We start from the raw sequence: 14,242 nt of genomic DNA on the forward strand, positions 1-14,242 counted from the left end.
ACTAATATTATTATATATCGCTAATATACAGTAATGGTATATGTTACATGTTAGAAATGTGTATCTTAATACCTACCATCAATGGCTTTTTAATGGATATTTGGTACAACAAATTTCTAATTAAAATTTACGAACATCCATAAAAAATGTGAAAATAGCCTGAATTTCAGATCCATTATTCCACTTGAAGACTAAGGATCCCCAGAAAAGAAGAGAGCATTTCTCCCTCCCCTTCCCCATCCCAAATAATAATTTAAAAGCACCCTTGAGTTTTATGTCAAGCCAGCATTTGGACTAAAATGGAAAAATGACAAGGGTAGGGTGCTACTTTGTCTGATTTCAATAGTTAATGAGTCTACTCACCTTTGAGAACACTGGCTTTCTAGCTGAAATCTCATAGTCACTAAGAGCACTATTCTTTCTAATTATAACAGTGCATGAGATTATTGTGTAGTCTTTGTCCTCTGTGAAGAAAATCAACATCGAGATACATGTACATTTCCTATAATAAAACTAAATCGATGTGTTATTTTTGCCTGCGTAATATTGAGTTGTTTTTATTTGTTTTCCTCCTTTGCCCTTTTGTTCCTCTTTCCCTCATTTAGAGTAACCAAGAGCAGGTGTTGCTTCAGGGTGAGGATCGCTTGTACTTGAACTGTGGAGAGGCTTCACAAACCCAGAATCCCAGGAGTTCTTCAACACACTCTGAGCATAAGCCCAGTCGAGAAAAGAGCCCATTTGCAGATGGAGGTTTAGAGTCTCAGGGATTAAGCACTTTACTTGGACATCGGCATTGGCATGTTGTACAGGTAAATCTTTAGTTACTGATTACTAGAGACTTATTCTTTGATAGGATATCACCTGGAACAGATTATTAAATATTTCATCTGTTAACTTCAGGCAACTGAGAATCCTTTTAACCATTTTGTCATGTCCCTCTTCTGCTTTTCTGTGTTCTTGTCCTCTAGTCTTCTCCCTCCTTTCTTTCCACTTGGCGTAGAGTGTATCCCCACCTGTTTCAAGTCTATTAATAATGTCAAGAACTAGAAGTTTATGTTTTGCCTTCTCATTGAGAACTATTTATTTTACTTTCAGCCTCTTTTTTTGTATAAATTTAGCTCTACGGATTTGCACAGGCAAAACAAAGTGTAATAATCTCATGGAAAGTGGCAACATCAGCTAGTACTCTGTACAGCTGACCTTACAGTCTTAAGGGGCCACGTTGAGGTTAATCATGTGACTTTGGACCCAAATTGCAGACTTGTGATCAGTAGAGAGCTTTATTGTTAATACTTTTATTAGCTAATCTTATTCCAAATTATTTATTCATTCTGATATCACTTTTAAATTAACAGTGTCTCACAGTAATTCTGATAAACTGACATTTAACATGGAAATTAATTCTCAATTTTGATACCAAGTAAAATTATTTTGGGGAAACCAGTAAGTTGAAGTTTCTTAAAAGAAACTTGCATACATAATTTCAGTCTTCCGACTGTTTTCTTTCCCTTTTTGATAGCAAAATATTTTAGGTACATCAAAGCCCACTCTTAGTTTCTTTTAGTCAGTTTCTGTTTCCATAATTCTTTGCCTTACTTTGACTCTCTATATGTTTACCCTACTAGCCTACTTCAGCTCCCATGTTATTTTCAGTTGACTTTGAGTGAAGATAATGAGAGACAAAAAAATGGTCATGTGAAAGGTTGAAGGATTATCTCCTACATTGACATCTGGTATACACTAAAAGAAAATGAACTTAACTTACATTAATAAATTCATAGAATCAAACAATGTACATACCATTTTATAATTAGTAACAATTTTTAAATAAAACTGCACTAGCTACTTCCTTGACTAAAATTTTCCACTGCTCCCTTCTCTCCTATAGCCATTTCTCTGCTATTTTCATTTCCCCATACTTTGAACTATTCATTCTACACTGACCTAGCATCAATGCCAGTTCTGCCTAGCCAGGTCTGTGTTACCAGAGAGCCAAGTAGAGCAGAGGATCAAAGAAGGTAGGTCTGGAACTAAAAAATCGATCAGGCAATAACAAAAATTGAATTTCCTTCCAGCTCAAAAACTCAGTGATTCTGTGATTCTTAAGCATCTATGAAGTACCCCATATAAGAGAAACATTTTAACACTGATTTTAGGACTTTGGGTACTAGCAAGATTCCACTGTTATTCTGTTCTTTAGATAGCTAAAGATATTTAGACAGATGAACTTTTAAAACTTGAGTTTACCTAGTTTATCAGTTTCCTTAAAAATAACATAAATAATGCCACATTGATTGTTTTGTACTGCTGAAACAATGAAAATGGGCTCATAGAATTTTTCAAGCTGGAAGGACCTAAGAGATCATAAAGTCCAACTGGATTTGATACATGAGGAAACTGAGGATCAGAGAAGTTATATGACTTGTCCAGTTCACCCAGCAGAGTAGTGGCAGACTTATCTTTATCATCACTCTACGTTAAAGTAAAAATCTAATGTATTTTAAAACCGAGGTACTGAGCATTAAATCACATAATACACCACTGACCTTGAGCTAAAACTTAGAATTCGCCTATTTGGCAGTTTGTACTTGGAGTTGCCCTGTATTTCGCTGGCACTCCAGCTACATGATTCAGTGCAGTTATGGTGGCGGTGTATAGGGCAGTATACAGTGTCTATATAATGCTAAACTTTTACGTTCTAGGCTTTTTAGCCATTTATGATGACTCCCTGAAGAAACATAGTTGCCTGGTTTAATTTGCCCCACAATAGTATCCTTTTTTCTAAGATAAGTGACCACATCCTCTGTCAAAGTTGATTTTGTTTGCGTGATTTATTCGTTGTATGTATGCTTCTTGTATAGCTTAGATGAACTCCAACTAATTCTGCTGCTTGTTCTGTTTCTCATTTAGAGTACTAGCTTTTTGTTTGTTTGCTTAAACCTGCTACCTTATACTCCTTAGCTTCCAGATTGGAAGATTCTATGTTACTTATGATTTTTCTTTAACTAAAACAAAACAAATACATACTTGTCAGAAGCAGGATTGGTAACTGGCAGTAAAGGCGGTGCTTTTTTTTTTTTTTTTTTTTTTTTTTTTTTGAGATTGAATTTTGTTCTTTGTTGCCCAGGCTGGAGTGCAGTGGCGTGATCTCAGCTCACTGCAACCTCCACCTCCAGGGTTCAAGCGATTCTGCTGTCTCAGCCTCCCAAGTAGCTGGGATTACAGGCACCTGCCACCATGCCCGGCTAATTTTTGTATTTTTAGTAGAGACGGGGTTTCACCATGTTGGCCAGGCTGGTCTCAAACTCCTGACCTTGTGATCCACCTGCCTCAGCCTCCCAAAGTACTGGGATTACAGGCGTGAGCCACCGCACCCAGCCAAAGCAAGCACCAGCAAGCACCAGCCAAGGTGCTTTTTAAAAAGTTTTTTCTTACCTATAAGTTTTAAAACTTTTGAAGTCATTTGTTGACATATGGGGCACAAACTATTGAAATTTTACAGAACACAAAGTTTCTAGTTTTAGGCCATGTTCCTTCTAAGACTGCCATTTATTTTAATGCTCAGTATTTTGTATGATGTAAGCATTTACTTCTGAAAGGTACATAAATCTATTATCCATTGTTCTGAGGGTGTTGGTTTGATGGTTAGCTTGGCTATTTAGAAAGAATAAGCTTCACAAAATGTGGAAGATAAGCACCTACAGGGTATCAGGCACTATGTTAGGGATTTCAACAGAGAGTATTTAAAGGCTCTTTCATTCATAAATTATTTACTGTCTTCCTACAGTATGTATCAAGTGTACCAGGTATTTGGCACAGAACAAATCTGCTAGGAGGATGGCTCCCACAGTCTCACTAGTTATAGACAAAACTAATCTAGGCAGGAGACAGAGTTTTAGCAGAGTTACTTTAAAATTTAAAAATCATAATAACAAATGAGGGCGGATTCAGTTTCTTTAAGAGAAACTGAAACATTCTAAGATAAGGGTAGAGTTTCTGTACCTTAGCACTCAGTTTTCCAGTGATGTGGCATGACTTCAGTGCCCTGAGTGTGCTTTCATGACCTGTTTTTTTTGTCACTGATCAGCTGCCTCTTCCTTACTTCTGCCATTCCCTTTTATCAAGTATTAGAGGTAGAGCTCAGAGTTCAGATGACACATAGATCAATAAAGTTGACCTACTGGAGAAAATACATAGTATCTTTAGACACAAACTGCATGAAAAATAAAGCTTCATTCTAAACTTAACACCTTAAGTTTTTAAAATACATCATTTGTGGCACTTCATAGATTTTTGTAGAATAAAGAATAAATTGTTTTATAGATATTGATCATAGTGTGATCATTTGATAAGATTTAACTTTGGTTCCCATTATTAGAAACTCTTTGTGTTAGAATCCACTTTTGCAGTAAGATCCCAGCTCCTCCATTACCCACCCACACGTTTCATAAGTACTCATGAAACACCAAGGTTTGAGGGAGGTAAGGATTCCTTTTAGTGCAATGGATGATTGACACAGTTATACTCAGGTACATCCTCCTGCTGTGAGTGACTGCTGAAAAAAGTTGAAAATGCTTTCAAGTTTTATTTCACCACCCAATCATTACCTTAAGTGTACCATTATTCTGAACTAATTTTACCCATCATAGTGATCTTTTTGGGGGTCTGGGGGGCAGGGAGACAGAGTCTCACTCTGTTGCCCAGGCTGGAGTGCAGTGGTGCAATCTCGGCTCACTGCAACCTCCGCCTCCAGGGTTCAGGTGATTCTCCTGCGTCAGCTTCCCGAGTAGCTGGGATTGCCGGCACCTGCCATCACGCCTGGCTAATTTTTGTATTTTTAGTAGAGACGGGTTTCACCATGCTGGCCGGGCTGGTCTCAAACTCCTGACCTCAGGCAATCTGCCTGCCTCAGCCTCCCAAAGTGCTGGGATTACAGGCATGAGCCACGGTGCCTGGCCCATAGTGAATTTTATTAATTTATTAAGCTATTGATTTAGTTGGATTTTAAGTTGACTTAAGTCAACTTAATAAGTATAACAAATAATTAGTAAGTAAAGCACTTGATAATAAGTGAAGTATAACAAACAGTTTTATCAAATTTTATCAAGGTTAATACAGATGTTTAGAGCATATTGCTTTTACTTAATTTTCTGTCTTCACATTACATACACAATCTTACTGGGTTTGATTGCTGTTGACTTAGCTTTTTAATTTGGCATTTAGTTTTTCAATATGTGACAACTTTTCTTAGAGTAAAATGAAAAATAAATTTGAACAGATCGAAGCTTTTCTTATTCCAAGAACAGAAGACTCTTTGTTCAGTTCTGTTAATTCTCGCCCCACTCCAACATGTGCTCATGAAAACTAATCAGCAGGCTAGAGAGATCAATCTCATTAAAACGAAAATTTACTTTATCTACATTGATATCCCATGTCAATTATTTAAATTGAAAGGTGTTGTTAGGGTGATACAAAGACACCATGTTCAAAGATGTAAGACAGACAACGTGGAAAAATGAACGCCTTTTCTTGCAGATAGAGTTAATATTTGTAATATATTAAAAGTTCTTGTAGATAAGTAAGTCAAATACCCCAATAGAAAAATAATAGCTTACATACACTCTTTCATGTACATATATATATGTTTGTTTAGAGATAGAATAAAAGCTAACCAGTGGTTGTACCTAAGTAACAGAGAATTTCATTTTGTCAATTTTTATATTGCATAATTTCATAAGTTTTTTTTTGTTTTTTTTTTTTGGAGACGGAGTTTCGCTCTTATTCCCCAGGCTGGAGTGCAGTGGCGCGATCCTGGCTCACTGCAACCTCTGCCTCCCGGGTTCAAGCGATTGTCCTGCCTCAGTCTCCCATGTAGTTGGGACTACAGGCATGCACCATCATGCACGGTTTCGTATTTTTAATAGAGACGAGATTTCGCCATGTTGGTCAGGCTGGTCACAAACTCCTGACCTCAGGTGATCCACCTGCCTCGGCCTCCCAAAGTGCTGGGATTACAGGCGTGAGCAACCACACCTGGCCTAAGCATTGCTGTTTTAATCAGAAAAGTGTAAAAGTAATAAAAATATTTCCATTAAAAACCAGAACTTTTTCTGAGGCTGTAATTGTATTAGATTAGGTTGTTTTGGAATGGTTTATATCAGCAAACCCAAACTGTTCATCTGCACAATTCATAGCTGCCCTCACAGGTGCCTTCTCTGAAAATCTCTTGTCAGTCTGTATTTATTGAATTCAATATTTAAAACAAACAGAAACATAAGGGGCAAGGGGCAGGGAGAGGAAAGCCTGGTGCCTAGAAACATGAAATAACGTAAGATGTAAAACATTGATTCATATACAAATGGTAAATTCCAAGTGCTCTGCTACTAACTAGGGGGCACCTTAAACATTGTTCGGCAAGATGAATCTCATAGTGTGATAACTTAATGCTTTAAGTTTAAATATATTTCATAAGTTTTACCAATCTGATGTGTTATTTTCTATAGATTTCCAGCACCTATCTAGAGAGCAATTGGCCTATACGGGTGAGTTGTTATTTTGTTGGTGTTAACTTTTGTTGACTAGCATTTGCTGCAAGAGGCATTCTGGGAAGAGCCCTTCAGTGGGTGTACTGAGAAAAATAAAACTCTTGATCTATTGTAACATTGCTAGTATATTAACATCTATAATTTTGTCAGATATAACTGAATATTTGGACTTTAAAATATTTAATTAGCAAACATTTATTAATTGTCTGTTTGCCTGACACAATACTAAGCTCTTTATGCCTAATAAAGTATATAGGTTTGCAAGGAAAAGTTCTTATTTTTTTTTTTAAACAGTTTTCAGCTATTGATAAGCTTGGACAGAATATTGCTGTGGTTGGCAAGTTTGGTTTTGCACATTACTCTTTACTCACCAAAAAATGGAAACTTTTTGGAAACATTACCCAGGTTAGTCTTTTTTGAGATTAAAAACCTATTTCTCAAAGTATAAGAGAACTACAATATGAAATAGCTATAAAGTTTATCACTAAGTAATTTTGGTTACTTATTAAAAATAAGGAAAATCAGATATAAAAAAGTGATATTGAATAATATGTAAGATTTGATTCTGATAAAATACTTGATATTTGATAAAGGATCTTGTGTTGAAATAGTTGGTTTATTTTTAATTCTTTTTAAGATCGGTAACTATAATTCCTTAGCCTGAGGATTTATTCTTACATTCCAGCTTGAGTTTATCTGATGTGATCAGAATAGATTTCCACAGAATTTGAGATCATTCCATGCCTATTCTGTGTGTGATGTATATGGGATAGTGAGTGTGCGTGTGTGTATGTGTATGTGTGTGTACATATACGCATGCAGTTGGAAGAGAAGGAAATCAGTACTTATTAGGTGCCTATTGTGTGTTAGGCATTTTAAGGCACTTTCATATATGTTATCTTACTCATCTGCACAGCAACCCAGTGAAGGCACTACTGTTACTGATCTTTTGATGTAAACACACACACACACACAAACTAGGATTCAGTTACTCATCTGATAAGTGATTAAGCCAGAATTTACACTAAGCCCTAATGGGTGTTAGAATGATGATGCTATATAGCACCCAGTTATTTTTAATGGTATACTTGCCTTCTTAAAGAAATATTTATTTTTATAAATAGGATATGGATCATTATTAATAAAGGCTCTAGAGTTATCATTGGAGAGAGGGGGAGTAAGAGCAGAAATAATTTGATCTTTGGCTGGGCGTGTGGTGGCTCACGCCTGTAATCCCAGCACTTTGGGAGGCCGAAGCAGGCGGATCACTTGAGGCTGGGAGTCCAAGACCAGCCTGGCCAACATGACGAAACCCCGTCCCTACAAAATATACAAAATTAGCTAGGTGTGTTGGAGCATGCTTGTAATCCCAGCTACTTGGGAGGCGGCTGAGACATGAGAATTCCTTGAACCCAGGAGGCGGAGGTTGCAGGGAGCTGAGATCGAGCCACTGCACTCCAGCATGGGTGACAGAGTGAGACTGTCTCAAAAAATAATAATAATTTGAGCTTTGTCTGGGTAAGAATTTTTATAAATATATTACTTTGTTATAATTTCTGGTAGCATAAGGTAAATTTTTTAAAAAATTTTTATTTTAAGGAGCAAAATATGATCGTGACAGGTGGCTTAGCCTGGTGGAATGATTTTATGGTCCTTGCGTGTTATAACATAAATGACCGTCAAGAAGAGGTAAGTTTTTTCTCTCAGAAATAACAGATTTTTATATTTTAAAGCTATTAAGCATGAATTAATTTTATATAGAAAATAGTCGATTGAAAACTGAACAAAACATTTTATTTTTTAATCAAGAATGTAGCTTCTTTTAGGTAGTGGGATTTTCTTTTCAGGTTATTACTTTAAAAAATTATTAAGTGACAATTGAGACTTTTAAGATAACCTTTTCTAAGGATTTTAGCTGTCGGACATTCCCTATGGAGTTTGAAAATAAAGAGTTAAAAGCAAAAAATTTCATGATATAAGAATGGCTGTCCTCAGAGATAGATTTATTTAGTTACTGATTTACAGTAACCCCTCCTTAATTATGGGGGATACATTCCAAGACCATCAGTGGATGCCTGAAACTGTTAATAGTACTGAACCCTATATAGCACTATCTTTTTTCCTATACATACATACCTATGATAAAGTTTAATTTGTAAGAGATTAATAATGACTAATAATAAAACAATTATGACAGTATATTGTAATAAAAGTTGTATGAATGTGGTCTCTCAGAATATCTTAGTATACTGTACTCACCTATTTTCAGACCATGGTTGACTGTAGATAACTGAAACTGTGAAGAGCAAAGCCATGGATAAGAGAGACTACTGTATCTGGTTTTTTGTTTTGAGAAACAGCTGGTCTTATTATGTATCAGGTCTAAATCTGCAGGTCTAGGCCAGGTGCAGTGGCTCATGCCTGTAATCCAAGCACTTTGGGAGGCTAAGGCGGGTGGATCACCTGAGGTCAGGAGTTCAAGACCAGCCAGGCCAACATGGTGAAACCCCATCTCTATTAAAAATGCAAAAATTATCCAGGTATGGTGGCACACCCCTGTAATCCCAGCTACTTGGGAAGCTGAGGTGGCAGAATTGCTTGAACCCGGAAGGCGGAGGGTGCAGTGAGCCGAGATCATGCCACTGCACTCCAGCCTGGGCAACAGAGTGAGACCCCGTCTTTAAATAAATAAATAAATAAATAAATAAATAAAGCAGGTCTAAAAGGAATATTTTATAATAGTACATTCAGTTTTGATCACTTCATTTTTTGCTTACTCATAGAATGAGCCTAGTCTGCAAAAATATGTAAACATAATCCATTTACTGTTAAAGCTTAGATAGTTCTTTTAACTCCTGTTACTAAAAAAAAAAAAAAAAGTCGGAAGTTAAAAACAGCATGTTTAAAGTATTTGGTCATCCCTAGTAGTTATCTTGTTTTTATAATTTTCTTCATTTTTGTTTTCTTCAGCTTAGAGTATACTTGCGAACATCAAATCTGGACAATGCCTTTGCTCATGTCACCAAAGCACAAGCAGAAACATTACTGCTTAGTGTCTTCCAGGACATGGTAATAGTATTTAGAGCAGACTGTTCAATATGCCTTTACAGTATTGAAAGAAAATCTGATGGGTAAGTATCTGGCATATGAGAAGTCACTTTTTGCTCCTATTTACCACGTTTCTCTTTTGTAGTTTTTGTTTTCTCAAAACAGTTATTCCACTTTTATATTCAATCTTGTTTTTGTTAGAGGTAAAAAAAGCAAGGAGTTTTAATTAGTGATATTGATATAATAGCTAAAAAAAAAAGAAATATCGTACACTAACTTCTTTAGCTTATCTTCCTGGAGTCATTTGAAAAAAATCTAGTTTGGGATGAGGTAAACCCTTAGATACTAAATTTTTTTTCACAACCTTGAAAATAAATGGTTACTGACTCTCCTGGTGCTCTCGATACTTGGTGGGAATTTGAAGGAGTTCTACAACTTTAAGACTGTAGGAAGCATGTCCTTAGCAAACTGACTTATATTTCCACTGAGCTAGATGGCTGTAGTCTGGGGCAGTAAAAAATCAGCAGTGTTGTTGCTGCTGCACGTTGCCTTATATTTGTCTTGGCATCTGGTCTACTTGCAACGTATTTAGACCACACCTCTTGAGTTTTATTTTTGTTCTCAGAGGTTAATTGAAGTATGTATTTACTGAAACAGCACAGTGATTGAGAAGTAATGCAAGATAAAAATTAAGACATCTCACTAGCCTCAATGATTGAACCATCATTCTTTCTCAACCCACTAGTTTTTTCCACTTAAATATTTGTATTCTTATAGCTTCTTCCCTAGTTTTCGTCTTCCCTCCTATTTGTTACTCCCTTTCTTTCTCTCTCATCCCCATATACTCTGGTTCCCCTCAACCTTGCCAACTTCCTGATCGAAGGATATATGGGGAGAAGATGATAGGTAGTAAGACATCTGAGTCTTCCATAAGCATGAAATCTAATACTATTACTAGTGGAAAAGAAAGAAAATCTTATTAGCATTGTTGTTGAGGTATGTGGGTTTCTTTTGTTTTTACAGTCCAAATACTACTGCTGGTATTCAAGTTCTTCAGGAGGTTTCCATGTCACGCTACATTCCTCACCCTTTCCTGGTGGTATCTGTCACTCTGACATCAGTGAGTACAGAGAATGGAATCACCTTGAAAATGCCACAGCAGGTACCACTCCATTATCAAAGGTCTTTGGAGTTTACATTTCTGTTTTTAGTATTTGAGTCCATATTAGGAAGTATTTGTTTGGCAAATAAATACTAAGTGTCTAAAATGTACCTTATATGAGAATGCTGGGTTGCAGTGGCAAATTAAAAAGACATGGTTTCTGCTCAGGCATTAAATAAATAATTACATACATAATGAATTGTTCCTGTTACGTGTACCAAAAAGTAGTACACATTACTGTGAGAGCATTTAACAAAAACCTGTTATAGTCTGAACAGTCAGAGATTTCTGTATCATTTAAATTAAAACTAGGAGAATAAGTAGAAATTATCCAAGTTAAGAGGGGATGGATTTTCAGGTGGAAGGAACAGTAGTGCAAAGGCCCATAGACAAGGCAGAACATGACACACTCAGGGAATTGGAAGAATTTTAGAGTGACTGGGACATGGAAAGTGAAAGAGGATATGAGTCTTGTAGATAATATTGATAATTTTAGACTTTAAGTCTAAAGTGTTTTAAGGTAGGTATTATTAGATCTAAGCTTTATAATGTTTACTGTAAGGAGGAAAATGAACTGAAGTAAGACAAAACTACTGTAGGGAGAGCAACTGGGAGGTCATTGTAATGATCTAGGTCAGTGGTGTTCACAGTCTGAACTTGGGCAGTGAAAAAGGATATGGAAAGAAGTAGAATGAGTATAGAATAGCAAGGGCTTTATAATTAGTTAATTATGAGGAAAGAGAAAGTATAATCCCGTAGTTTCTGGGTAAAGTAACAGGGTAAGAAGTAGGGCGACCAGGACCCACGTTGCATAACTTTCTATTTCAGTGGTTTCTAAACTTCATGTCAACTGGGAACCTACTGTCAGAGGAAAATTCTATGTGGATTTATTTGTCATCCCTGTCTGGGCAGTCTGTCTTTTACTTCCTATCGAGGCACTTCGATCAAACCTCAACACTCCATAAAATAATTAGAAAACAGACTAGACTAGACTATCCAGTTATGGGGAATTTAATATTACTTATATGAATCTAAAATCAATTTTGTTACCTTCTATCCCAGTTCTCTATTCTTTGTAGAAGACATTGTAAAAGCTAGTCCCTCTTCCACATGATGACCCGTAAAATATCTGCAGACAGTTAACATTCCTTGGCTTCTCCTTCTCTCCTCAAACCTCTCTGTCATCTTATCTGCATGCTAAATACTTCCATATGTCCAACTATTTCATTGGATGTTTATTCTAGACCCCTTAAGCATCTTGGTCTCCCTTCTTTTTTTTTTTTTTTTTTTGTCCTTTTTTCTTTTTTTTTTTGAGATGGAGTCTCACTCTATCGCCAGGCTGGAGTGCAGTGGTGCAATCTTGGCTCAGTGCAACCTCTGCCTCCCAGGCTCAAGCAATTCTCCCGCCTCAGCCTCCCAACTAGCTGGGACTGCAGGTGCACGCCACCACGCCCAGCTAATTTTTGTATATTTAGTAGAGACAGGGTTTCACCATGTTGGCCAGGATGGTCTCAATCTCTTGACCTCATGATCTGCCCACCTCGGCCTCCCAAAGTGCTGGGATTAAGGGCGTGAGCCATCGTGCTCGGCCTTGGTCTCCCTTCTATAGGTAAAATTGGTTTTCTCCTTTAAAATATAGTTCCCATTTCCTCTGCAAACCTTATTTAATGGTAACCAGTTAGTCCTAATTGATAAGGGAATATACTGTTTTACAGAAGTTTAGATAAAAGGTGTGAAAAAAAGTGACAATTTAAAAATCATTTTGCAGTCCTGAGGAACTAATCAGTCTTATCACTAAAAATGGGAAAACCAGATATGGTATGCTTCTTGAGGTGATATAACATGAAGTTCACAAGAATTATTGCCAAAAATCTTGAACCCAAATCAAATCAAGTATAGAGAGTCATCTTCCCTACCACAAGGGAGCAGAATACAAGACATTCTGTTGGACAGCTACAAGTCACTAACATGGGGGAAGAAGGAGTGAATCTTCTAGATTAAATAAGACTTTGAAGCCATAAAAACCAAATGCAGTGGTTAAAAGTCATTTGTGAGGCAAATGTGATAATCACTACCCTGCAGAACCAAGTCAGTAAGCTCATTTGTATCTTCATTCAAATCAGCTATGAAAAGACACTGTTGAAACAATTAGGGATATTTAAATACTAATGGAGAGAGAAAGTAGGGAATAATTGTAAATTTTATTGGATGTGATACTAGCATTGTAGCTATGTTAGCAGATGCCCATATATTTTAGGAATGCATATTAAACATGTAGAAGTAAAATGGGTAGCATGTCTTAATTGAAAATATTCTGACAAAACTGAAAAAAAAATAAGGGATGGATGGAGCACATAAGGCAAAATCTTGATAATTGTGAATCTGGATAATGGCAGTGTGAAAGTTCATTATACTATTCTCCATACTTTTAATCATGTTTAAAGTTTTCATATTTAAAAAAGGACTCTTATATATCCCAGATAGAGTAGGCAACCAGTGGCATCAGTAGTCCTGGATACCATATTTTGAGAGGGCCTTTCACAAAGAGAAGGTGCTTAATTTGGCTAGAGCAGATTAAGAAGTTAAAATTGACTGATTACCATAGAGGGAAGACAAAGAATGCTGGAGCAAAGTAAGTTTTCATTTAATACTAAAGTTTTCAAAAAAAATAGTAGTAACAGTGAAAACTCTTCAACAGCAAGATAGTCTCTCCATGAGAGTGAGCTCCTTGTTACTGAAACTCTCATAGAGAATCATCTGCCAGGGGTTTTTTTAGGGTAAGAGATTGAGTTTGGGGTTCCTTCAAATTTAGGATTTTGGGCATACATGTAGCCCTTGCTTTTTCTGAAAGCTTTATTAAAGTTGCTTGAGAGTGCTGTTGCAGTCATCTTTAACGTTATCAGAAAGTGTTGAATACTAAGATAGGATACTGATAATACCCACTCACTGAAGAAAAGAGAAGTGTACTTTTTTAATGAATTAGTATGAAATGTGGTGAAATCTACCATCTTAAAACTTAAGGTAGTCATTATAAACATTACTCATATTGTGGTGAATTACAGTAAATGCCTTTAAGGTCTTTTGAAGTGTTTTAGTGTATGCAGTTCCCAGTCATGCTGTTTTGCTGCAGGTGTTTGTCTTTTTCTTTTTCCTCTGCCATCTAGCTACATTTTACTGTTATCCAGGTGTCTGACTCTTCTAGTTGCCACACACCTAAATTCCATGTTCACTTCTCATACCTCCAAATTACTTTCTGGATAGATAACCAATTTTTTTATTTAGTCATTTCTTTATACATAATCCCCTGTAGAATCTGAAAGCAGTAAGCAAGAGTAGTTTGTATAGCCAAGTATTTTGCAACTAGAATATATAGGGTGGCTGCTGTTTTCTTGATGAACCCTAAATGATCATTGGTAGCTTAAATTCAGCCAGCCAGCATGCAGCAAAGCCTGGGACACAATCCCACAAGTTTTGAATACTCACTCTT

General features: G+C 36.5%; 1 protein-coding gene across 16 annotated transcripts in view; it reads left to right on the plus strand.

The window, feature by feature from the left end:
• RIC1 (RIC1 partner of RAB6A GEF complex) overlaps positions 1-14,242 on the plus strand; it is a 149,527-nt gene that overhangs the window by 117,590 nt on the left and 17,695 nt on the right. For 9 of the 16 annotated variants that reach the window (XR_428426.4, XR_007061330.1, NM_020829.4 and 6 more), the window contains 6 exons: positions 606-809; positions 6,504-6,542; positions 6,840-6,950; positions 8,145-8,234; positions 9,516-9,676; positions 10,617-10,755. Coding sequence is in view for 12 of the 16 variants with exons in the window: in NM_020829.4 (NP_065880.2) it covers positions 606-809; positions 6,504-6,542; positions 6,840-6,950; positions 8,145-8,234; positions 9,516-9,676; positions 10,617-10,755 (744 nt within the window). In the remaining 4 variants the exon portion in view is untranslated. Of the gene's footprint in view, positions 1-605; positions 810-1,929; positions 2,019-6,503; positions 6,543-6,839; positions 6,951-8,144; positions 8,235-9,515; positions 9,677-10,616; positions 10,756-14,242 lie in introns of those variants that run through there. The other 7 variants (XR_007061331.1, XR_007061332.1, NM_001206557.2 and 4 more) reach the window with 3 other exon arrangements.

Source organism: Homo sapiens, chromosome 9, assembly GCF_000001405.40.
Source record: "Homo sapiens chromosome 9, GRCh38.p14 Primary Assembly".
Taxonomy (NCBI): domain Eukaryota; kingdom Metazoa; phylum Chordata; class Mammalia; order Primates; family Hominidae; genus Homo; species Homo sapiens.